The sequence below is a fragment of the Homo sapiens genome, chromosome 14 (genome assembly GCF_000001405.40).
Source record: "Homo sapiens chromosome 14, GRCh38.p14 Primary Assembly".
NCBI classification, from domain to species: domain Eukaryota; kingdom Metazoa; phylum Chordata; class Mammalia; order Primates; family Hominidae; genus Homo; species Homo sapiens.
The window spans coordinates 104,027,621-104,054,669 of record NC_000014.9 but is presented as its reverse complement, the minus strand read 5'-3'; the positions used below and the strand labels follow the sequence as shown (position 1 = coordinate 104,054,669).

Genomic DNA, 27,049 nt, shown 5'->3' with positions numbered 1-27,049 from the left:
CCTTGGAGCCTCACGCATCTCCTCCCAGCTATTCCAGTGCAGCCTGGGCCGGGCCTCTGCTTGAATGTCACATGGGAAAGGCTGTCCCCAGCTGCTTCTCTAAAGCAGTGTCACTCCCTGTACTTCCCCCCATCACAGGATCAGCAGCTAAGACCCAAGCTCAAGTCTGATGCCTGTTCTCATAAATCAGGTTTTGCGGGCACACAGCCCTGCTCGTTTGTTTATGGCTACTCCTGAGCTTCAACACAAAGCTGAACAGCAGCAGCAGCAACCACATGGCCCACAAAGCAAAAACAAGTGTGCACGCTCCTGTCCTGCCGCTTGACAGCTCTCACTCTGTCGCCTGACGCATTTGACCACCATCTGCCTCTACCCACTGCTCCCTGAGTGCAGTGAAACCTGGGCCACTTTGCTCGGAGTGGATCTTCAGCGTCCGTGACAGTGTGTGGAACACAGGGCGTGCTGACGGGATGCACCAGGATGAAACAACGACTGCCTCCGAGGAGCACTTGGGCTGGGCATGAAAGAGACTTCACTAGAGACCCTTTTCAAATGTCTTCATCTTATGTCATGGACATGTATTATTATACTAAGAACATTATTATGTATTTAAATATGAGGAGAATTTTGCAAACAAACAAGGCAAGTACCCTCTTAAGATAGATAAGGAAGGCAATGCAGTCGAAGTGCACCACTTGGTTTTACAGAAGATAATTTTCTTTGCTATCTACAAAATCCACGTTATAAAGCACAATGACTGACCTGGCCAGTGATATTGCTGTGACCGTGCGTAGAGATAGCAAAGGAGGTGCAGAACAGTGGGAAGGAGCCAATATTCATCTGCTGCTCAACAGCTGATGGCTAAGATGGCAACCATGAAAAAGCAGAACAAAAACATTCCTCAGCAAGATGAAAGCAATTCCAGAAAAATATAGGGAAGAGTTAGTATGGTTTCCTTTGAGAGTTGGGTGTTTTTGTTTTTAAACAAGCCTCTTGGTACTACTTAAATTTTTTTGTTTTTGTTTTTTGAGACAGAGTCTTGCCCTATTGCCCAGGATGTAGCGCAGGGGTACAATCACAGCTCACTGCAGCCTTGAACTCCTGGGCTCAGGCAATCCTCCCACCTCGGCCTCCCAAAGTGCTAGGATTACAAGTGTGAGCTACTGCACCTGGCCTAAATTTTTAGTCACTTACTAAAAGTCTGGTTAAAAAACGAACAGAATGAGTGCTTGACTGTTGTGAGTGTCCCCTACTGCTAAGGCCACACATTTGGTAACCTTGCCCACATGGACTAAGTACTCATAGGTCGGCAGAGCAAAGAGAAAAGCCAATCAAAGTGTCTGCTGCCCTCCCCGGAGGCTTTCTCAGAGGGCTTTCTGACGACGGGCAAAACCTTCACTTTAAAGCGGAACCAAGTTTTGGACGTGCTCAAAACCTTCCAAGAGCCCTCCATGTGTGCCAACTTGGTATGACCACTTACTCCCTAAGGCTGGGAAGCACATTCCCCAGAAGGCCAGGACAGTGGCCCAGTGACAGGGGTGCAGTGCTGCCCAGCCACCACAGCTGCTTGGTGGTCTTCCCGCTTGGCATCTGCCAGCTTCCCGCTGCTGGCCAGCGAACCCACAGAGGCCCAGCACAGCGCCAATGCTCCCCAAGATGTGACGGCTTCCAAGACCCCACACAAGCTCCCGTTTATGATCCCAAGTTGATGCCCATGCACACGCTTCTCCTGTTTCCTCACCATCTTCAAATTGTCCATCTGGGACAAGTCAGTTTAAGCAGAGCATTTCTCTGATCCTACAACTTCCCTCTCACGTGCGAGCTCACTGGCGTCTTTCACTGCTGTATTTACAACAGCTCTGTTCTTCTGACCAAACCCTGACTGATGTGAGTTGAGCTTTTAAAAGAGGTCTGTATCCCTGTATCAGTTGTACAATTTCAGATTTTTTGGAACTAAATACATCTTAATCTCCTCTGACTAAAAACTGTCAGAAACAGAAACTTCATTTAATGCTTTTATTGTTTTAACACAGATAAGCTATGGCCATGTAATCTGTAATCTCTGATTTCCAAAATGTGAACCAAGAAGTATAACTCAACTTAGTCTTATAAAAATTAGATATTTTCCCTCATGGAAAAAAAAATCAGAAAATACTACATGGTTTTTTTGTTTTTTTAAGTTTTTTCCTATACTACTGGTTTAAATCACTGTAACAGAACAGAATATGTAAGCACATTCTGGAACCTTACATCTAAGATTAACTACTTATATTTACCTTAATAAATTTAAAGCAAAATACAGCTCTTTATCCAAACAGACTTCTTTCAGAACAATCTTTCCAAAATATTTAATACAGTGATTTTCTGTTTCTAGAAAAGACTAGAGTTTCCAATCCTTCCCACCTGAACAAAAACACCACTCTCTGACTATCACCCAAAGAGAAAAGAAGAAAGAAAAGGCCTTTAGGATGCAGTGGGCACAGACTGTAACACCCAGACACAGAGGAAAGTCAGTCTGCGGAGGGAGCCTGGAATCCAGCCTCCACAGCTTCCTGAGGGGTGTGCTGGAGGCCACCTGTGGACATGCTCAGGTGCCGAGCACAACCAGTTTGTGGAGCTGGTAGAGAAAGGTGTTCTTCCCTCTGCTGCTCTCACGGTCGGCCTGCTCCATGACCAGCTTTGGATCAACCTAATGGGGTAGACAAGCGGACCAGTCAGGCTCTGTGACAGGGCTTTTCCAGACATAAAATACACATGCATTAACATCCAGGATGCACAAAGTATAATTCAGTTCTCCAAAAATATTTACAGAACACTTCTCTACTCTCACACTTCATACTATAGGTTTGATAATTCATTTTTAATTTCATGTTTAAATAACCCCATTAAAGATGGACAAAAGACATGAACGCTTCTCAAAAGAAGACACTGAAGGGCCAAAAACATTTAAAAATGCTCCACACATCAGTAATCATCAGAGAAGTGCAAATCAAAACCACAAAATACCATCTCACACCAGTCAGAATAGCTATTATTAAAAAGTCAAAAAAACAACAGATGTTGGCAAGGCTGCAGAGAAAAGAGAATGCTTATACACCATTGGTGGGAATACAACTTAGTTCAGCCACTGTGGAAAGCAGTTTGGAGATTTCTCAAAGGTCTTAAAACGGAACTACCATTTGATCCAGCAATTCCATTACTTGAGTATATGTCCAAAAGAAAACAAATTGTTCTACCAAAAAGACACATGCATTTACATATTCACCACAGCACTATTCACAATAGCAAAGACATGGAATCAACCCAGGTGGCCATCAACAGTGGACTGGATAGAGAAGATGTGGTACACACATACCATGGAATACTACACAGCCATTAAAAAGAATGAAATTGTGCAATCGGGATGCAGCTGGAGGCCATTACCTTAAGCGAATTGATGCTGGAACAGAAAACCAAATACTGCCTGTTCTCACCTAAAAGTGGAGCTAAACATTGAGTACTCATGGACATAAGATGGGAACAAGAAACACCGGGGACCACTAGATGGGGGAGGGAGGCAAGGATTGAAAAGCTACCTATTGGGTACTATGCTTAGTACCTGGGTGATGGGATTAATTGTACCTCAAACCTCAGCATTATGCCACCTACCCAAGTAACAAAAGCTGCACATGTACCCCTTGAATCTAAAATAAAAGCTGCAAATAAATAAATTCATGATTAATACTATGGCAAGCTTTACTGAGAAATCTCCCATGCATGCCTATGTAAATGTGGATGGTAATTGCATTACAGGTCTTGAAGACACTGAAATTTTCTAAAACATACTAACCTCAAAGTGAAATTCTGTTTTCAAACAAAGTCCTGCTAGTTCGTCACCCTCAGACACTCCAACCGAGCCTGATGGCCATGGGGGCTGGTGTGGCCGCCCCTCTCCTTGCCCATGGAGCTCTGCACACAATGGGGCCGGCTGCCAGGATCAGCCTTGGGGTCTCTAAAGAGGGACCTAGGCACAGGGCACAGGGGGAGCAGGCGAGCCTCACAGCAGGAGCAACCTTGAGGCGCAGGATGGGACACAGTCCTCCAAGGCAGAGCCTCACTTAGATCGTCAAAGGGGAGGGGAAGACTGCCCCTGCTGCTTTGTATCTAGAGATATCCCTGGCTCTGGAATTAAATCTCCAAACTCCTTTGGGCTCCTTTCTCTGAAATCACATTTTATTCCATTTCTAGCCCTACAGACAGGAAGTACCAGGGAGCCTATGAAGGGCTTTGTCCTTCTTCATGACTCAACTGTGGCCCCTGAAAATTCCTTCACTGAAGCCCGAACCCCCACTGTGATGTTATTTGGAGATGGGGCCTCTGGGAGGTGATAAGGGTTAGATGAGGTCACAAGGGTGGGACCCCAAGGATGGGATTTGTGCCCTAAGAGAGGACGTCTCTCTTTCACGTGAGGGCACAGTGAGAAGGTGGCCATCTGCAGATGTCCCTCAGAGGTCCTCACAAGGACCCACAAACTGGCACCTTCCCTAGGACTTCCAGCCTCCAGAGCTGTGAGAACAAATGTCTGCTGTTCCTAAGCCCCTACCCGTGGTGGCACTGTGACAGCAGCTCAAGCAGACAAAGACAACAACCAGTACAGCCCGAAAGCCACCAAGCCAGCCACATGGAAGGAACAGCCAAGGTGCATTTCACAAAGACCAACAAGAGCAGGAAGGTTCAATCCAGACCCTCATACCTTTTTTTCCCAACTCACAGGCAGTGAGTTATCCTGGTGTCTGACTCTTTGCCGGGACATCACATAGAAGACACTGTGCAGAAACAGCCTGTCTGGTCTGAGACATTTGCCAGCTGGCCCCCAAAGCCATCCACTTTGCCTCCTGTCTCTGCCTCTCAGACCCTCGGCCAGCCCTGGCTCTGAACCCTGGGTCTGCCCAGGGCCTGTCCCCTCCTCCACGTGGCCTCTGCTCATGTAGCAGCCTGCGTCCCACTCACCTGATTCCACTCGTAGGGCTTTTCATGCCACTTGGGAACAATCTTCTCCCTTGGTTTTGACTGACAGAACAAACTAATTTAAAAAAAAAAGAAATTATCTTAATTATATATTAGTAACTGAAAACACTGCTGTGATTTTTTTAAAGATTTAAATCCTATATGCTTCCCACAGAATTGGAACTAGAATAAACTGTTTAAAGGTCAACATTTATGCAGTTATGATCAGAAAATATTTTAATCTATGGCATATTCAAAAGCAGAAAGAAATGGAGTGTGACAGATCTGTAAGACCTAGTCTTGTCTCTATGTTCCCTTAGCAACCAGCACTGCACACCACATGAATGAGTCAAGTTCTCTGAAATGTAACAGGACATTTTGTACCATTAGCTCTCAAGCAATCATGACAAGTTGGAAATATCATCAGCTTAAAAAGATAGGGAATTTGAACAATGAGGGAGTAAAGAGTTCTGCAGAGCCTCTCCCCACTAAAAAACTATAAAACAAGGCAAAACTGTATACATACATACATACATACACACACACACACACACACACACACATACATACATACATACATACATACCAACAACAACCATTTGAAGGCTCTGGAAATTAACCAAAGGCAAAGGCAAACAACAAGTTGAGAAGCATTCATTCATGACAAACTGCCAGCTCCAGGTGAGAACAGTGGAGTATGTGGAGTTCTTGCTGGGGTAGGGAGCCGCTCCCACCCCATACACCTGCCCCTGAACCCAGCACCACAGCACTCCCAGGGCCATAAAGGCTATGTGATCTGGATCAGAGGGGGAAAAATCCTCACACCTTGACTTGGAGCATTGTCAGTAAAAACAGCAATGAAGGAAACAGATGGGGAAAGCCCATAGCTTTCCAGCCTCACGCCACATCCTGCTTGGGGCCAGCAGCAGACCAGACTATTCAGGAGGTAAAAGGGAGACTCTGGAAAGGAGAGTGCCACAGAGGGGGAGCAGGCCCTCCACACATCCCTGACTGATGGAGGGGTGCACACACGTGGGAAAAACCTGGGAAGCCCTGAGAAAAATAGAGGCCAGGGAAGAATCAAAAAGTGCCTGAACTTGGAGTGCACTTTTCAACCCATACTTAGCTCCAATGGCAAAGGGCAGAAGCCTTCAGGGCAGTATTTAAAGACAACTTTTGATTGATCACTGGCTAAGCACTAAGCTGTGCAGATCAGATACAAGGACAACACCTAGGAAGCCAGGCTAAAAAATAAAAATAAGAATAAAGAAAACAAAACGAGCTGGGCGTGGTCACATATGCCTGTAGCCCTACCTACTTGGGAGACTGAGGCAGGAGGATCGCCAGAGCCCAGGAGTTCAAGGCTGCAGTGAGCTATGATCACATCACTGCACTCCAGCTTAGGCAACAAAGTGAGACCTTGTTTCTATAAAAATTAAAATTAAAAACATAACAAAACAGCAGAACCCAGACATCAGTGACCTCACATCACAGGGGATGGACTTACAGGTTAAGACTAGGCACTTTTCTAAAGTGAAACAAACAAAACCACAAAACCCAAAAACAGCAGCTCTGGGGGAACTGCTCCAGTACATTATCTAAAGTACCCAATTTCCAACAAAAAAATTAGGAGACATCAAAGACACAGGAATGTGTGGCCCACACACAGAAGAGCAGCCAGTAGAGGCTGAGTGTGTGGCCAGCTGTGGGTTCAGCACTCAAAGACCTCAAGGCAGCCACTGTGAACAGGTGCCAAGAAGTTTTTTAAAAATAGGATAACAATGAATCAGGGATAATCTCAATAAAAATTAAAAACTACCAAAGAAACAACAGAAATCCTAGAGCTGAAAAGTACAATGACTGAAATGGAAAATTCTCTGTACCGCATCCACGTCGACCTGAGATGAAATAATAAAGGATCAGTAACCTTAGGACAGATCAACAGAAATTAACCAATCTGAAGCACAAAAAGGAAAGAGACTGAAGAAGAGTGACCAGAGCCTCAAAGACCAGTGAGGCCGTATCGACCGTGTCAGCACGCGTTTAACACCAGCGCACTGACAGACGTGCAAAGCAATGTCTCCCTAGGGGAGAAGAGAGCGGGCACGAGGCAGAAAAAAATATTTGAAAAAATTCAAAACTGCAAATATACTGTAAGTAAAAGGATAGAAAAAGCTCACAAATGGTAGCTAAAGAGAGCTGGGGTAGCTATATTAATATCAGACAAAATAGGCCTTAAAACAAGAAGCATTACTAGAGAAAGAAAGCTTTCATAATAATAATGATCTTGTATGTAGGAAATCCTAAGGAATCTACAAACAACTACTAGAATACAGAAGTTTAACAAGGTCACAGGATAAAAGACCAATATATAAAAATCAACTGTTCCTTTCTAAAAAAAATTCAAAAACAAAATTAAGAAAACAATTTTATTCACAATAGCATTAAAAGAACTAAAATATTTAGAAACAACTAAAGTGCAAGACCTGCACACTGAAAATTCTAAAACAGTATTAAGAGAAATTAGAGAATACCCAAATGAACAGACACTCCATCTTCATGGACTGGATGGCTCACTACTGTTAGGATGGCAATTCTCCCCAAACTGACTCACAGGTTCCACACAATCCCTACCACAATTCCAACAAGGATTTTTATACAAACTGACAAGCTGATCCAAAAATTTGCATGGAAAGGAAAAGAATATAAAAGAGTAAAAATAATTTTGAAAAAGAGCAGGCCAGGTGCGGTGGCTCACGCCTGTAATCCCAGCACTTTGGGAGGCCGAGGTGGGCGGATCACAAAGTCAGGAGATCGAGACCATCCTGGCGAACACAGTGAAACCCCGTCTCTACTAAAAATACAAAAAAATTAGCCAGGTGTGGTGGCGGGCACCTGTAGTCCCAGCTACTCAGGAGGCTGAGGCAGGAGAATGGCATGAACCCGGGGGGCGGAGCTTGCAGTGAGCCGAGATCACGCCACTGCACTCCAGCCTGGGCAACAGAGCAAGACTCTGTCTCAAAAAAAAAGAAAAAGAAAAAGAATAAAACAGGAGGACTAATGCTACAGCAATTAAGACAGTATAGCACTGGTACAAAGATAGATATAAAGTAATTGAACAAAACAGAAAACCCAGTAATAAATCTTTACATTTATGGCCAATTCATTTTTGACCAAGGTACCAAGGCAATTCAATGGTAAAAGTATAGCTTTTCAGTAAATGATGTCATCACCACTAGATGTTCATATGCAAAAAATGACTTTAGGCTCTTGTATCACATACCACATACAAAATCATCTCAAAATGGATCAAAAACCTAAACATAAAAAATTACAAAAAGAGAGAAAATGATTGTGACCTTCAGTTTAACAAGGATTTTTTAAGATATAGCACCGAAAACATAATTCATTTTTTAAAAAGATAAAGTAGGCCAGGCGCGGTGGCTCACCCCTGTAATCCCAGCACTTTGAGAGGCTGAGGCGGGCAGATCACGACGTCAAGAGATCGAGATCATTCTGGCCAACATGGTGAAACCCCATCTCTACTAAAAATACAAAAATCAGCTGGGCTTGGTGGCGTGTGCCTGTAATCCCAGCTACTCGGGAGGCTGAGGCAGGAGAATCGCTTGAACCCAGGAGGTGGAGGCTGCAGTGAGTCGAGACTGCACCACTGTACTCCAGCCTGGGCGACAGAGCAAGACTCCGTCTCAAAAAAAAGATAAAGTAGTGTCTTAGTCCATTTTCCCCTGTTATAACTGAAGACCAGAGAGTGGGTCACTTACAAAGATAAGAACTTGATTTCTCACAGTTCTGGAGCTGGGAAGTGCGGGAGCATGGCTCTAGCACCTGGCCAGGGCCTTCTTGCTGCATCATGACATGGCAGAGGGGCAAGTGAGTACTTGAGACAGGAAGAGGCACCGGGGCAGACCCACTTTACAACAATCCATACTCTCTTGATAACTAACCCTCTCTCACAATGATGACATGAGTCCAGTCAACCCCTTATTATGCCCAGCCTTCCAACACTGTTGCATTGGGTATTAGGTTTCAAACATATCACATTCAAACCACAGCAAGTAGATTTCATCAAAATTAAAAATTTGTGTTCTTTGGAAGACATCATTAAAATAAGAAGACAAGCTACACAATGGTGAAACTAATCGCAAATTACTTAACCAATAAAAGACGTGTATCTAAAATTTAAAAACAATTTCTACAACTCAATAATGAAAAGACAAATTTAAAAATGGGCAAAAGATCTGAACAGACATTTCACCAAAAAAAAAAAAAAAAGGATAAATGACTGGCTAAGAGGAATATAAAAAGTTGCTCTACATCATTAGTCATTAAGGAAACGAAAATTAATGCTACAATGAGATACTACCATACTCACCAGACTGACTGCAGTAACAACACGTGCCGGTGCCTCGTGCTGGTGAGAATGTGGAGAAGCCAGAGCCAGCCTATGTTGCTGGTAGAAATGTAACATTGTACAGCTATTTTGGAAAACAGTTTGGCTATTTCCTTTTTTTTTTTTTTCCTGATAGAGTTTCGCTGTTGTCACCCAGGCTGGAGTGCAATGGCGTGATCTTGGCTCACTGCAACCTCCGCCTCCTGGGTTCAAGCAATTCTCCTGCCTCAGCCTCTCAAGTAGCTGGGATTACAGGCGTGTGTCACCATGCCCTACTAATTTTTGTGTTTTTAGTAGAGACAGGGTTTTACCATGTTGGCCAGGCTGGTCTGGAACTCCTGACCTCAGGTGATCTGCCCACCTCAGCCTCCCGAAGTGCTGGGATTACAGGCGTAAGCCAATACGTCTGGCCCTGGCCTTTTCTTAAAAGATTAACATAAACCTACCAATACAACCTACCAACTCCACTCATAGATATCTTCCCGAGAGAAAAATACATGTTCACAAAAAGACTGTATGTGACTATTCATAGCAGCTTTCTTCATAATGGCCAAATACTGGAAATAATCCAAATATTTTATCAACTGGTGAATGGATTAAAAAAGTGGCATAACAAACAATGAAATATTATTTAGTAAAAAGGAACATGATACAGTATGGATAAACCTCAAAAGTACTAAGCTAAGTGAAAGAAGCCAGATTTTAAAATTAAAATGTGATTCCACATATATAAAAATGTCAGAGAAGGCAAATATATAAACAGAAAGCAGATCAGTGGTACCTGGGCTGGGGTGGGAACAAGACTGCGTGTAAATGGACAGGGGGAACTTTCGATCCTCAACACAGCTTTACTGAGGTGTACTTTACATATCCTAAAAGTCATCAACTTTAGGAACATAATTGATTAGTTTTAGTAAATTTATGGGGTTGTACAAACAATGACACATTCTGTTTTAATATATTAGTCAAGCAGGTGGCATCTGCTGCCTGCTGCCAGGAGAAGTCAGGGCACCCCTGCATCTTGTCTTGGAGTCGCCAAGGAAAACACACAGTCAGACCCTGGCTGGAACGAACCTTTACTTACAGAGGGAGGCAACAGGACAGGATCAGCTCTAGTGACTGGCAGCGGTCCCTGTGGCCAGCGGGTACCTCCCGGAAGACAAGGCAGGCCTGCAGGCCCCTCTCTTATGTGGCAGCAGGAGAGCCCTGTCCCATCCCTGCAGTGGTGGGATTGACCAGGTACCGTATGACACACAGGCTTAAGCAGGGCAGAGCCGGAATCAAGGAAAGATCTTCCCACACATGGCGACGAGCCCCCCACAGGCTGTGAGGACCCTTAATCTTATGGGAAGGAAGCGTTTCAGGCCCAAGGCCTGTTCTCAGACAGCAGAGAGGGGATCAAAGGCTGCCTGCATGAGACTGCCTTTCCCGACAATACTTATGAGTAAACTTCTCTGGATGACAGAAATGCTGAAGAGCTAGGTTGTGTTGACAGACTGCACAACTATAAATTCACTAGAGTTATTGAATTGTTAAAACAAACAAACCAATACCTACTACCTATGGCATAATAAGGCAGGATACAGTTACCCTTGTTTTGGGGGCAGGGAGTGATGGTGGCTACAACCACACCCGCACACCCTAAGGAGCACCGGGGCTCTGACCTCGGTGCTGGCCACATGGGCATATACCTGTGTACTTAAACTTCAACCCACATTTTACATAAAAATATTTTTACTGGCCAGGCATGGTGGCTCACACCTGTAATCCCAGCACTTTGGGAGGCTGAAGCGGGTGGATCGCCTGAGGTCAGGAGTTCACCTGACCAACATGGTGAAATCCTGTCTCTACTAAAAATATAAAAATTAGCTGGGCATGGTGGTGGGTGCCTGTAATCCCAGCTACTTGGATGCTGAGGCAGGAGAATCGCTTGAACCCGGGAGGTGGAGGTTGCAGTGAGCTGCAATCGTGCCATCGCACTCCAGCCTGGGTGACAGAGCAAGACTCCATTCTCAAAAAAAAAAAAAAAATTACCAGCTTGGGCAACATAGCAAGACCTCATCTATGTAAAAAATTTAAAAATTAGCCAGGTGTGGTGGTGCACACCTGTAGCCCCTGCTACTAGGGAGGCTGAGGTGGGAAGATCATGTGTGCCAAGGAGTTGGAGCTGCAGTGAACCATGCTCGCACCACTGCACTCAGCTTGAGCAAGAGGGTGAGACTCTGTCTCTAAAAATAAATAAATAAATATTAAAAATATTTTTATATAAAAGAAAATGAAGAGAGAAAACTAAAACTGGCCTTTCTCACCATTTCTAAGACAGCTATATATAGCTTTTTAAAAAATGCTTATTAAACTAAAAGAAACCAACCCAAAAGGCATAGGAAGGAGAGAAGTGTCACCGTGATACCAGATGCCACCTGCTTTCACAGAGGTCCAGGTCCCAGCCAGCACAGGACACTGTCAGGCAAGGAAGGACCGGGCCCTTCCCAGGGAGACTGGCTCTGGGGCAGGAGCACAGGACTGGGTAGGTGGAATGCTGGTTTCTCCTCCATGACCACTCCCACTCTTCTTGGCCTTCCCGGGGCCCTCAAGCTGCCTTGGGCTCATGGGCTACACCAACAGGAGCCTTTTGTGTCTGCATTCTGGTTTGGTTTGTCCCATGGAGAGTCCAGCAGGAGGTGAGAAACAGGGAAGTCAGGTCAGAATGCTCCTTCTCCAACCTCCCCTGCAGAGAGGTTCAAGAGAGGCCCAGCTCTGTAAGGCCCAATCCTACAAGCCGGACTCCCCCAATCCCTAAGACACCCACCACTAGGAATGGTGGGTGACACATTACCCACTGTGGCTTCCCATGCCCTGCCCACGCTGTCCCTTCAAGGGACACACACACACAGGACAAGGGTGCTGCTCTCCACAGGAAGGGCGTGCCTACATTCTGATGCCTCCCAGTGCTGCCTCCAGCACTGGCACTCCACTTCAGGTGATCAATATGTCACATTGCCTACACAATTCAAAACAGCCATGATCAAGGCAGCTGAGAAAGTTGACTGGGAAGAAAAGAAGCCCGCGTCATCACACAGCTTACCCTAAAAGCTTCTGACGGGCAATGTCTTGAAGCTGCGCAACTCTCTCTGGCCCAAGACACTTGCATCCATTTGGTCCATCACAGACTAGCTTGTTAATAGCAGCCCTGAGAATATTAACCTGTAAATGAACAGCAACATAAACACTCATAAGGCTCCGTCGTAACTGAATTTCATCCCGTTAGAGAATTCATAGCATTCAGAGTTAGTATTCTCTGTCATCAGTATGGTTTATCCACTCGCCTGCTGAAGGCATCTTGACTGCTCCCAGTTTTTAGCAATTATGACTCAAGCTGCAATTGATATTCACATACAAGCTCTATGTGGATGCTAGTTTTCAAATCTCTTGAATAAATACCTACAGATGGGATTCCTGGGTCATATGGTAGATGCAGGCTTAACTTCATATGAAACTGTCTTCTAAAATAGTGGTACTAATCTGCATTCCCACCAGCAATGAACAAAAGGTCCCCGGTCCCCCTGCACCACCTCCTTGCCATTGCTGGTTACTGTCAGGTTTTGGATTTCAGCCATTCCAGTAAGTAGGTGGTGCTATCTCATGGAAGTCTCAATTTGCATTTTCCTAATGACATATGATGCTGAGCATCTTTTCATGGGTTTACTGTCATCCGTATTTTAATTCTGTTGCTTGTTTTCTTATAATTGAGTTTTAAGAGTGCCTTACATATTGTGGATACAAGTCCTTCATCAGATATGTAACCTGTAACTATTTTCTCCTGGTGTGCACTTTGTCTTTTCTTCCTCTGAAGAGGGTCTTTTGCGGAACAAAAGTTTTTAATTTTGATAAATTCAAACGTATCAATTTCCCCTTCACAGATTGTGCTTTGGGTGTTGTATTTATAAACTCATGCCACACCCAAAGTCACACAGATTTCCTGAATTTGCTTGTAGCACTTTAATAGTTTTACATTTTCCCATTAGGTCTATGGCTTAAGGAGTATTTTCAAGCCCATAAGCCCCTTCTTGTGACCAGGCAATTATGACTTAACAGTTGCAGAGACAACACTGATACCTGCCCCCGGAGCATCGGCAGCTGTCTCTGCAGCTCCTCCTTTCCCCCGGCCCTTCAGTGTGGTTATGTTAACCTCACCCGTCTCATGGAACTTCTAAGAAAGAAAGGCGACTGAGTACTTAGAAAGTAGCATTTCTCAAACTATTTGTGGTAAAGGATCAGTTTTGGTCTTCCCACTTTGTAAAATGCAATAAAAATAAATTACTATAACGATGAAAGATCTTTTTTAATGTACACAAATACGAGCCCACATTTCTATTATTAGATTCAAATGACATACAAATACTTTGTGTACTTGCTACACAGTTTCCCTGTCTGCCTTGCCACCTCACCCCAGAGCTAGTGCGGTGCCCAGACAATGCTGCAAGCAGCTCAGCTCTGCACTCACGCTGACCCAGCCCTCTGCTCAGCATGGTCACCAGGCCGGGAGAAGGGCAGAGGGGCAGGACCTTGTGTCCTCCTTTCCCAGTAAGAACTAGCAAGGATGTTCCACTTCCTGACTTGGAATGAGACCCACAGCAGCCCTACAGCCCCGTGGTTTAGCTGATTGCCCAGAAAAGCTTATGCCAGGAGACACCAAATGAGAGACTCAGAGAGCACCATCAGGAAGTTACTTTTCACAGGAAAGATACATCAAACTGGCAAGTTAAGGAGCGGTCCTCCTGGAGGGTGACTCCAGGAGGGACAAGGAACGTGCACATCTCCAGGACCAGAGGTGTGTGTCTGCACCGCGAGCTCCACAGCAGACCCTGCACTCACTGTCAGGTAAGCAAAACCAGAGAGAGACAGGGTTGTGGTGCCGTGATGCTGCACTACCCTTACCTCGACGACATCCTCCACGCTGAATTGAACGTCAAACGCAAGCTCCATGTCGTGCTCGGGCAGTATGGAAGCCCCTGTAGCTGGATTCCACCCCAAACCACAAAGGACTCCAGTATAGTACTTGCCATTCTGATCAATCCTAAATGGAATGTTTTCAGAAGAGTCCATTATTTCAGAATTGTTAAAGTATATGTTTTAGCATGTAAAAATTGACCGATAAAATTATCCTAAATTCTGCCAGCCCTAGTACAGCAATTAATTTCACTTGTGCATTTTTCTGCCAGTTTTCACAATCAAAATATAGTTATAAAATATAGTTATAAGAATAGTAAATTCAGTATTTTTATTAATACTTAATAATTTGTATTAATACTTTATTAAGTTTCTAATGTGGTAGATAAGATAATGAAAAGAATATTTTATCATGAATGGGTTTTTTTTTCCCTTGCCTTCGAATTCTTTCCATGGGTTAAATTCTTATTAGGGAGATTTCTGGAGAAAGGGCTATGTACATATTTATGACCTGTCAAACAAGTCTAGCACTTAGTAAAAGCCTAAAAAAATGTTCCACCTTCTCATCCTAAAACAATGGTGCACACTTACAAAGTTTTGTATCCCAGTTTTATCACCACCCTCCTCTGACCACTGGCACGTCCTGTCACCTTTATCACTCCCTAATAGCCTCTCCATGGCTGCGGCCAACAGCCTGGTCCAAGCCACTGCCATTTCTCACCTGGACTTGGTAACAACTTTCCGACCAATTCCCCATCTCTTACTCCTGCCTCTTCCAATCTTTTCTCCATATAGCACACAGGAGTAGCTTTTCAAAACAAATACAATGTTACTCCCTTGCCTAAGGCGTCTCAGTAGTTTCCAACCACACTGTGAATTACAGTGGGACCTAGAAGCCACAGTGGTCTAGCTGTGACTGTGACTACAGTAAAACTCACGCTGTGTGGCTTCTGCAGCTAGATTACAAAAGGTGACACAGGCCAGGTGATATGGTTAAGCTTTGTGTCTCCACCCAAATCTCATCCTAAATAATCCCCACGTGTCATGGGAGGGACCCTCTGGAAGGCAGTTAATCATGAGGGTGGTTAACCTCATGCTGTTCTCGTGATGGTGAGTGAATTCTCATGAAATCTCATGGTTTCGTAAGGGGCTTTTCTTTTCCCCCTTTTGCTCGGCACTTCTCCTTGCTGCCACCATGTGAAGAAGAACGTGTTTGCTTTCCCTTCCACCATGACTGTAAGTTTCCTGAAGCCTCCCTAGTCGTGCAGAACTGTGAGTCAATTAAACCTCTTTCCTTTATAATTTACCCAGTCTCGGGTATGTCTTTATTAGCAGTGTGAGAATGAACTAATATACTGGGCACGGTGGCTCACGCCTGTAATCCCAGCACTTTGGGAGGCTGAAGTGGGCAGATCACTTGAGGCCAAGAGTTTGAGACAAGCCTGGCCAACAGGGCGAAACCCCTTCTCTACTAAAAATACAAAAATTAGCCAGGTGTGGTGGTGCACACCTGTAATCTCAGCTACCTGGGAGGCAGAAGTGGGAGGATCACTTGGAGGCAGAGGTTGCAGTGAGCTGAGATGGCACCACTGCACTCCAGGCTGGGTGACAGAGTGAGACTCCAACTCAAAAAAACAAACAAAAAAACAGGGACAGCTGCCACCTGGCTCATTCTCAGGACCCTCAGCACCAACCCACCATGCTGAGGACACCCAAACTAGCCTACAGACAGATCACTTGTGGAAGTCCTCACTGAGAGCAACTGAGGTCTCTGGCAAGCAGCAACCACCAGATGTGAGCCTGGACACCCACCAGCCTCCAAATCCTTCAGCTGGAGGCCCCAACATTGGGAACACAACAAGCCATCCCTGTGTACCCTGACATAGTTCCTCACCCACAGAGGCAAAGAAGGTTGCTGTAGCCCACTGAAGTTTTGGGGTAGCTTGTTTTTAGCCACAGTAGCCAGAAAACCCAGTTAAACAGTGAGAGTCTTCTTTTAATCCACCCTCATTCAATTTTTTGTTTGTTTAATTTTTGTGGGTACATATAAGTGTAGATATTAATTTTTAGGTTTTAATTGATAGAACTTCTTGTTGTTGTTGTTTAAAGATCCCCCCACCCTCTCATGCCTGTTCAGAAGCACCATCTTCCCAGGGTTACAGCACTGCCCTCAACACGTGACTTAGCCTCTAAACCATGGCCAGCATTTGGCAGTCTCCCCAGTAGCAAAACCTGGCTCCAAGAACCAAGGGAAGGAGGTGAGTACAGTGTTCTTGTCACTACACCAATAAGAGCGTGTTCTCAGATGTCTGCTCCCATCCTGGAGGTGCCAGGCTCTGCTACCATGGAGCATTCTGCTCACCCAGGGAGGCGGGCTCCACAAGGTACACAATGATGATGCCACTGAATCCAGGCTGACACCATCAACTACTCCAACTGTTCAGGGAAAACACCTCGAGGACAGGGGCAGCAAGAGGAGTGACGCACTCCGGGGACAGATGTGTGGTGGATCAGCTCCACGATGAAGGGAAGAGGAAAGCTGGCACCAAGGCTCAGTCACCCTGAGTTATGGAGGGGCCAACTACAAGTGAAGGTCACATGGCAGAAAGAACAAAGGAGAGGAGACAAATGGCAGCTAGGTCAGTCCACAGCCAGTTGGCAAAGAAGGGGACAGTGGCCTCCACTTAGATGTCTCTGCTTATGAATGGGGCATAACACATATCTCCTTCCCCTTTTTAAATTGAAAATCAAGATAAAATTAAGTTTTCTGCTCATCTTCCTTTCCTGCCACTATTGTACAAAGAGTATGTTAGAGGTGGTAAAAAATTATCACTTAGTCGTAAAGTTGAATCAGTTGTGACAGGACAGTGACACATGTGGAGGGAGAACAGACTTTACCCAGAGACTGCAAGCTTCGCGTTTAACAAGGGGGGCCAGGACAGCCTCTAGTGCAGCAGCCAGACGCCACCCGAACAGGAGACGAGTCCCATGCGGGTGCGCATTAGAGAGGTGGCTCACAAAAGGAAGCAAACGGGCATGGGCGCATGGCGGGGCAGCGGCTCGCAGGAGCTGTGGGCTTTGGAGGACAGCTCCCCTCCGGAACACACCTAAGACACAGTGCTGGGACCCCTGGGCCAGTTCTGTACTGAAGACCCCCCTCCTGCTCGCTGCAGAAGACTGCATATTTAAAGTGAAAGGAAAGGAGAATGCTCATCCCAAATCAAACAGCTGTCATCTTTCAAAGTTTCTCAAAAACAGTTGTTACTCACTCAACAAATTAAAAAAAAAAAACTCCAACCTTAGAGACAGAGTGAGACCCTGTCTCAAAAAACAACAACAAAATAAAAAACAACAACAAAACCAAGCTTATACAACTACTCAGAGGCAGGCAGAGTTTGGAGGAAAATCAACCAGGCCCCCCTGCTACCTTTCCGATAATCACCTAGTTAAGCCTGTGGATTCAAAGACAACTAGTCTTACGCACACTGTCACATAAACCGTCCCAAATCTGGCACATTTCAGTTAATTCAACAAAATGAATATAATCAGCAAAGCACTGTGTATTGTTATATATAACCTTTTCCTATTAAGCTTGTGCTTTTTCTAGAAAGATGGTGTTTTAAATACCAAGTATGTCAGTATTTCTTGAATGTCTACAACCTAAACGCTTGCACTCTGGAGTTGTGAAAATAACACACTATATCATTCAAATCCTCAAAAGCTGGTGTTTAAAAGAGGTGAAGCAGGAGCTTTGTCTAGTTAAAAAGGCAAGCAGGGCGTCCAAAGTGCCATGAGAGGAAGGGACCTGCTTCTGCACTAGCCAAGCCTCAGGCCTGCAGGTGCACAGCGTGCTATTTGCTCATGAGATCATCCCACTGCCACGTGTGGTTCCTGCACATCTGTCTCCCCACCGAGGCTCCAAGACGCCTGAACTTACAGAGGGATTTACTGCATCATCATTGCAAAATTAGGTCACATTTCAACAATTAAAGGCATATTCAATCCTTTCAGACAAGAGCCGCTCAGAAACAAGTGCATGTATAATTAAAACAGGGCGGTATTTTTGTAAGCCATCATATGCCCATTCAGTGATATATGATACAATTATCAAAATGGATATTTACAAAGATATCATAATATGAAAAACCTGGTATTTGTGGGAAAAGAATACAGTATAACAAGAATCTTAAATAAAAATATGTATATACAAATTTAAAATAAGTATACTATTTAAATTTAAATCTATAAATTTAAAAATGTGTTAATTTTTCCCATTCAGCTTTTTCTAAGTAGCACATATTTTAATGAAAAAAATATTCTTACAACTAAAAAAAAAAGCACTACACATTTTGAGATTGCACTGTCAGATTCTGAACAAGTGTAATGGCAAAAAGGACTGAGTAAACGGTGGGGCCCTTCCACCTGCCTTGACTGAACTTAGCCCTCTAGGTCTATGGACCACCCCTCCATGCTCACCAGCTGACTAGAAAAGAAGAAAAGGGTAACTTTCCATGCCCCCGACTCTTGAAGTGCTACCAGGCCTCTACTGCAATCTCGTCATGGCCATTTCCATCCTGCCCAGCAGAATGTGAGTTCCTAAAGCCCAAATATTACTCCTTTTCTAGCCACCCCCACCCACTGCTCCACTAAAACCTATGTTAGTGCTTTCCCCACAGAGAATGCTCTGTCAATCCCTAGTCTGCAAACAAAACCTTACACGGCAGCAGCCCCCACTGTGAGGGTGCCTTTAAGAGCTCTGCTCATGGCATCACACACTCCTCTCTATCAAAGTCTCTGGGAGAAATCCTGGCTTAATCGTGGCATTAACAAGAGCTACAATCTGCTGGGCAATCTGCCTTCTGATGTCATGGTTACCACAAGAAGGGGGACTGACGGGTTCTTGTCGACAACTGGTCACCAGAAAACTTGGAATCACATTCACCACCCATTAACAATGGGATGTCCATCACCATGACATTTATTTTGAGCCTCATTCCTAGCTCCATTTTTAATTTATTTTACCCCTTTTTTGCCTCAAGCTCCTATGTGACACAGTGTGTACCTTTACAAGCTTTCTGAGCTTCTTTCAAAATCAGCCCAAGCATAAATAAATCAATAACAATACAGGCTTCACCCCAAGCAGCGAGACGTGCCATGGCTAGCTTCCATAAAGGCTTTCTTTCCAAAAGGAGCAAGGAGAGGCACCCGTTTTTTCCCGCCCAGGTTCTTATTTTACAAAGCCTATAGACAAGAGGGATGCCCGTACCTTAACTCTATCACCGGTGCGAATAACATGCTGAGGAGAGCCGGGAGGCCAGGGATATGAGGCATCAGAGAGGTTTCTCTCAGCAGCATCGTAGATCCTGTTCAAGTCATGCTAAATCAACATCGGGCATTAACTCACGCTGCTCAGGGCAGCGTTCCCTCCCGGCCCGCTCCTACTCATCTGCAGGTATCCCCTCCTCTGCTGAGTCTGTCCAGTCCCCACAGGCCCACCCCAATAGTAACGCACACTCCCTGTTCTCTGTTTCCACAGTACCCTACAGAGAGACACTACGCTATGATGCGTAAGCTTTTACCCCACTTGGGGATAACTCCTATTTGGTTACTCTTTGCATCTCTTTCCCCTAATCAGGCTATTGGATTTTTCCCAGGGCCAAGAGCTTGGATGTATTCTACTCTGTAGCCAAGCAGGGTGGAATGAATGAAAGATCCAGGAGTCAATTATTAATACTTCCCACATCCTTGTATAAAAGGAAAAGTGAGAATGCTCCACCGCGTAACCTCGCACCAGCCAAAGCAGTCAGAAAATGGCCTAAAAGAACAGCACGTAAGCTGGGCGCGGTGGCTCACGCCTGTAATCCCAGTACTTTGGGAGGCCAAGGCGGGTGGATCACGAGGTCAGGAGATCAAGACTATCCTGGCTAACACAGTGAAACCCCATCTCTACTAAAAATACAAAAAATTAGCCAGGCATGGTGGCAGGTGCTTGTAGTCCCAGCTACTCGGGAGGCTGAGGCAGGAGAATGGTGTGAACCCAGGAGGTGGAGCTTGCAGTGAGCCGAGATCGCGCCACTGCACTCTAGCCTGGGCGACAGAGCAAGACTCTGTCTCAAAAAAAAAAAAAAAGAAAAAAAAAGAATAGTACATAGTGTAGACTTGTTCACCAATTATAGGATAAGTTGTTCCTAGTAGCTGAAGTCAAGGAAAAGAAAAAAGAGAGGACAAGGAATAAACAGGATCTTTAAATTACCAGTCGCATTGATGGAAAGGGAAGCTGCAACCAGCATTCTCTGGTGAAGGTCTTCAGGGGCGTCACTGATAATGACAGAGTTGATGCTCTCCTTCTCAATCCAAACACACCTAAAAGGCAGGAGCACCAGGAGATGGGGTGACTGATCCACTAACCAGGCAATGTGCTATGCCAACCCACAAGCAACCCATTTCAAAAATACAAACGGGCAACTGCAATGATAGACGGGAAGAAATATTTAACCCCCCACTCTCCTGCACATCTCCTTTTACTGGACCACCTCTTCACACAGGAGTCCTCAAGCTGGTCCTCAGCCCTCTTCTCTCTCCACTCCCTCGTGCATGATCCCGACCACTCCTTGGCTTAGGAACCACGCACACGCTGGGGATGCCCGAACCTCCACCTCCACTCGAGACCCTCTGTCCTGCACTGTCAACTCATAAGGGCCATCACCTGCATCCTGGCAGAGGGAACTGAGTGTGGTCCACCCCACAGTTCCTCTGTCACCCCTCAGCAGAAGCCTGCTGCAGCCCCAGCAAGGGCACCCTTAATTCTTCCTCTTCCCTTCAGCACTGACTCTAATGCAGCTCCATCCTGCTGCTTCCAGCAGGTGAAAGTGCTGGTGAAGCTGTTTCTGTATCTCCTGCCAGGGACTCAGTTTCCCATATTCCCACCCTGGGTTACAGCAGGGACCAGCCTCAGAAGCACAATACTGCCTGAGGATCTTTCTACTCTGAAATCCAATGCCGGCTTCACACTGGGGCTCCTGAGACTGTAAGCACAGGCAGATCGCCAGAGGCCTTGTGAAAATGCAGGCTCATTTGGAAGGCCCTAGGGGACCTGGGCATCTGCATTTCCAATGTGCTCCCCGGAAGACATTTTGAGAAGACAAGACTTACCCAAAGGCATCATTTTAAAATGCACATAGTAAGGTTCACGGCCCTTTCAGAATGAAGTCTACAAAGTTTGCCCTCGTCTACCACAAGCTTGGCACCTCCCTTCCCCCCACCCAATTCTCCAATCTTACTAAACTTACTCGAGTTACACGTGCAAACTCTCAAACTCAGGCCTATGCACTTGCCAGTGGAGCCACCCTCATCCCACCTCCCCTCTCTTCCTCCAACACCTGCACCTTGGCTGACGCCTCTGTATCCGCCAGGCCTCAGATTTCTCTGGAAAAGCTCCATGATCTTTCAAGGGTGGCTGGGCCCCCTAGATGCTTTCATGATGTTCTGTGCCCTTATCAAGAGCCCTATCACCCTATATTGTAGTTACCGGCTTCCTCTATGCCCCCCACCCGCCAACTGCATCCATAATTTTCATGAAGACAAACAACTGTTTCTTGTTCACTACAGTTTGCCCCAAACCACACACTGCTCCTGGCATACAGTGGGCTCTCACAGCTTTGCTGAATAACAATTGTAACAAGAACAGAAAAAAATGTAGTCTTTGATAAAAGATACTCAAAAATGTCTTACATAGAATGGCTTTCACGTGTGTGAGAGAGAGACTACCTCAAATCAGGAGCTGGGAGAGAAATGAGAAGTTAGAAAAGATAACATTCCGGCCGGGCATGGTGGCTCACGCCTGTAATCCCAGCACTTTGGGAGGCCGAGGCAGGTGGATCACAGGGTCAGGAGTTTGAGACCAGCCTGACCAACGTGGTGAAACCCCGTCTGTACTAAAAATACAAAAATTAGCCAGGTGTGGTGGCACGTGCCTGTAATCCCAGCTACTCAGGAGGCTGAGGCAGGAGAATTGCTTGAATCTGGGAGGCGGAGGTTGCAGTGAGCCAAGATTGCGCCACTGCACTCCAGCCTGAATGACAGAATGAGACTCTGTCTCAAAAAAAAAGAAAAGAAAAGAAAAGAAAAGATAACACATTCCAACAGTTTAGATATAAAGATACATTATTTTCTGATGAGATCTATAAACAGAAAAGCAGAGAAAAAAAATTCATGGAAAACTTAAGTTAATCATACCTGAATTTGGATATTCTGGTCAAACTATGGCACTTTAGTTCATAAGGGTTAAAAGGCCCGTGAAGTTCTGCCTGCGTGCACAAAATATAGGAAGTGTTACCAATAAGCAAGATAACACTTAACATGAATTTTTAAAACTCAAAAGTCAGCTCATTCTTTAAAGGAAAAAAAAAAGACATCTCATTCATAATGTCTTTATGATTCAGTTAAGAAAAAGTGCCTTAAAGAAGGTATTTTTCTGGGATGTAACTCATTCTCTTCAACAATTTCACTAACATTCCTTGATATATATGGTTAAGAAAGCCTTTGGACAACAAAAAAGGAATCATTGACAATTTAGTGAAAATACTATTATTTCAATTGCAGCAGACCAACCCAGTTGCACAGGTAGACCTGAGACCACACAACCAGAGGCTGGGGAAACACAAGTGGAGTCCCTGAACAAGGAGACACCCTGGCCAGCCCTCCTCTCCAAGCAGGCGGGCAGCACCGGCTCTAACAGCCAGCCAGGGAGTCCAAGGCTGGCACCAGTTCTCTGAACCCACACGCTGTGCTTCCTTTAGTCCGACAAAAAAAGCACACGTCAGGAGGGTTTAAAAAAAAAAAAAAAAAAAAAAAACTAGTCAAAGCTTCTCTCTAAACCCCACTAAACACTAAACCCCAGGGTTTTTTCTTATTATTATAAGAGGATCAATTGTGAGAAAAGTAACAGCATTAAAAGCCAGAAAAGAAAAAACCACCATGACTACTGACTACAACTCCTAGCACATAAATGTAAAATGATACTAAGCTTTTAAATTACATTTTAAAACTCCTACAATCACCTTACAGTTTGGAGTACCCAGTTTATTGGTAGAAAAGCTCTCTAACAAAATCCGGATGAGATATTTCTCGTCGTCTTTCATGGGAAAGGGCACAGAGCCATCTGTCATGTTTTCTACTGACTTGGAAAAGAGGCCCTTGAGAACTTCATGGCTTTGCTGAACAAACAAGAAAAGTTTGTTTTGTTAAAAGAAAATATTACAAGGACTTTCTTCCAAACTAATCAAAATATTTCATAGGCACAGTGTTACTCTGATTTCTATGTCATTAATTTTTATTTTATTATTATTACACTTTAAGTTTTAGGGTACATGTGCACAATGTGCAGGTTAGTTACATATGTATACATGTGCCATGCTGGTGTGCTGCACCCATTAACTCGTCATTTAGCATTAGGTATATCTCCTGATGCTATCCCTCCCCTCTCCCCTCACCCCACAACAGTCCCCAGTGTGTGATGTTCCCCTTCCTGTGTCCATGCGTTCTCATTGTTCAATTCCCACCTATGAGTGAGAACATGCGGTGTTTGGTTTTTTGTCCTTGCGATAGTTTACTGAGAATGATGATTTTGGAAGTCATTGATTAAAGTATAGGGAAATAATTTTATCAAGTTCATTTTAAGATTCAAACAAAAGAAATATGACAGGATTTACAATCTTATTTCTTCAAACAAAAGAAATCCGACAGCCTTTGCAACATTTTACCCATTAGAGAATTTAAGAGAAATAAACATTTTTTACAGTTTTTTGGGGTTTTTGTTTGTTCGTTTGCTTTGAGACGGAGTCTCACTCTTGTCGCCCAGGCTGGAGTGCAATGGCGCAATCTCAGCTCACTACAACCTCCACCTCCCAGGTTCAAGCAATTCTCCTGCCTCAGCCTCCTGAGTAGTATGATTACAGGTGCCCACCACCATGCCCAGCTAATTTTGTATTTTTAGTAGAGATGGGATTTCACCGTGTTGGTCAGGCTGGTCTCGAACTCCTGACCTCAGGTGATCTGCCCACCTGGGCCTCCCAAAATGCTGGGATTACAGATGTGAGCCACTGCACCTGGTCTACAGTTTTTTTAATTTTCTTTTTTCTTCTCTTACTATCGTTTGCAAGAAAGAAACATTTTTACAGGACTTTTTTGTATGTAAAATTTTGGTTTTACACTGGAAATATTAACATAATTCCCTGAAGTGTTTTTATATAAATTAAATACAGAATTTAGCCAGCACTCTGGCTAACATTTTGCTAGACTGTCCCTTCCTGATACCCAGTATTCTTCATCCCCAGCAGAAATAACAGAAGTAAAAGACCTTCAACATGAGCTTCAAAAGTGGCCTCTCTGATCATCTCAACAGATGCAGAAAAAGCACTTGATAAAATTCAGCATTACTTTAAGATAAAAAAATTCTCAGCAAATTGGGTATAGAAGGAACATATCTCAACGCAAGAAAGGCCATACATGACAAACCCACAGCAAACACCATACTGAAGAGGGGAAAACTGCCATCTTTTCCTCTAAGAACAAGAACAACACAAGGATGCCCAATTTTACCATTTATATTCAACACAGTACTGGAAGTCCTAGCCAGAGAAATTAGGCAAGAGGAAGAAAGAAAGGGCATCCAAATTAGAAAAGAGAAAGTCAAAATGTCCCTCTTTGCAGATAACATGATCTTATATATAGAAAAACCTAAAGACTCCACCAAAAAGCTTTTAGAGCTGATAAATGAATTCAGAAAAGTTGCAGGATACAGAAATCAGTATACAAAAATCAGTAGCATTTCTATACACCAATAACTAGCTAAAAAAGATATCAAGAAAGCAATCCCATTTACAATACCTACAAAAATAAAATACCGAGGAATATATTTAACCAAGGAGGTGAATGATCTCTATAATGAAAACTACAAAATATCAATTAAAGCAATTGAAGAGGACACAAATGATTAAGACATCTCATGTTTATGAATTGGAAGAATTTATATTGTTAAAATGACCATACTATCCAAAGCGAGCTACAGATTCAATGCAACTCCAATCAAAATACCAATGACATTCTTCACAGAAATAGAAAAAACAATCCTAAAGTTCATATGGAACCAAAAAATACCCCAAAAGCCAAAGCAATCCTAAGCAAAAAGAACAAAGCAAGAGACATCGCAGTACCTGACTTAGAAATACACTACAAAGCTACGGTAACCAAACCAGCATTATACTGGCATAAAAACAGACACACAGATGACCAATGGAACAGAATAGAGAACCCAGAAATAAAGCCACGCATTTACAGGCAACTGATTTTCAACAAAGGCTCCAAGAACATTCATTGGGGAAAGGAGAGTCTCTTCAATAGATGGTGCTGGGAAAACTGGACATCTAAATGCAGAAGAATAACACTAAACCCCTATCTCTTGACATATACAAAAATCAACTCAAAATGGGTTAAAGACTTAAATGTAAGACCTAAAACTATAAAAAACTACTAGAAGAAAACAAGGAGAAATACTTTAGTACACTGATCTAGGCAAGGATTTTATGGCCAAGACTTCAAAAAGCAGAGGCAACAAAAATAGACAAATGGAACTATATTACACTAAAAACCTTCTGCATAGTACAGGAAACAATCAACAAAATGAAGAGACAACCTGTAGAATGGGAGAAAATATTTGCAAACTACTCATCTGACAAAGGAATAACATCCAGAATACACAAGGAACTCAAACAGCAAAAAAGCAAATAATCCAATTAAAAAGTGGGCAAAGCATCTGAACAGACATTTCTCAAAAGAAGACATACAAATAACCAACAAATATATGAAAAATGATCAACATCACTAATTATCAGGGAAATTCAAATCAAAACCATCGTGAGAGATAGCATCTCACCCCAGTTAGAATGGCTATTATCAAAAAGACAAAAAATAAATGCTGGTAAGGATGCTGAGAAAAGGGAACTCTTATACACTGTTGGTGGGAAGGTAAATTAATACAGTCTTTATTGAAAACAGTGTGAAGGTTACTCAAAAAACTAAAAACAGTACGAACATACAATCTGGCAATCCCACTACTGGATATTTATCCAAAGGAAAGGAAATCAGTACATCAGAGATACCTGTACCCCGTGATTACTGCAGCAGTGGTCACAATAGTCAAGATACAGAACCAACCTAGGTGTCCGTCAACAGATGAATGGATACTGAAAATGCAGTATATACAGAATAAAATACCATTCAGCTACAAAAAGAAAAAATCCTGTCATTCTTGGCAACGTGGATGAGCCTGGAGGATGGTATGTTAAGTAAAATAAGTCAGGCACAGAAATATAAATATGACATGTTCTCATTTATGAGTAAGAGCTAAAAAAAAATTGAAATAATGGAAGTAGAGAGGAGGATTGTGGGTATTAGACGCTGGGTAAGACAGGAAGGGGAGAATAGAGAGAAGTTGGTTAACAAACAAAATTACAGCTAGATTGGAGGAATAGGTTCTTGCGTTCTGCAGCACTGTGGGGTAAATATGGTTAACTATAAGGTATATTTTCAAAAAGCTAGAAGAAAGTTCTTGAATGTTTACAACACAAAGAAATAATAAATGTCTGAGGTGACAGATTTGCTAATTACCCTCACTTGATCATTATACATTATATACACATATCA

At 43.8% G+C, this 27,049-nt stretch overlaps 1 protein-coding gene across 12 annotated transcripts in view; it reads right to left on the bottom strand.

Moving 5' to 3' along the window:
- Positions 1–2,002: 2,002 nt before the first annotated feature.
- TDRD9 (tudor domain containing 9) overlaps positions 2,003–27,049 on the bottom strand; it is a 124,212-nt gene continuing 99,165 nt past the window's right edge. For 6 of the 12 annotated variants that reach the window (NM_153046.3, XM_011536397.3, XM_011536400.3 and 3 more), the window contains 8 exons: positions 23,407–23,562; positions 22,583–22,653; positions 20,601–20,710; positions 19,614–19,710; positions 14,336–14,474; positions 12,483–12,601; positions 4,990–5,062; positions 2,003–2,689 (listed from right to left, as the gene is read on the bottom strand). In NM_153046.3, coding sequence (NP_694591.2) covers positions 2,588–2,689; positions 4,990–5,062; positions 12,483–12,601; positions 14,336–14,474; positions 19,614–19,710; positions 20,601–20,710; positions 22,583–22,653; positions 23,407–23,562 — 867 coding nt within the window. In that variant the 3' untranslated portion in view covers positions 2,003–2,587. Of the gene's footprint in view, positions 2,690–4,732; positions 4,806–4,989; positions 5,063–12,482; positions 12,602–14,335; positions 14,475–19,613; positions 19,711–20,600; positions 20,711–22,582; positions 22,654–23,406; positions 23,563–27,049 lie in introns of all 12 variants that reach the window. The other 6 variants (XM_005267309.5, XM_047430910.1, XM_047430909.1 and 3 more) reach the window with 2 other exon arrangements.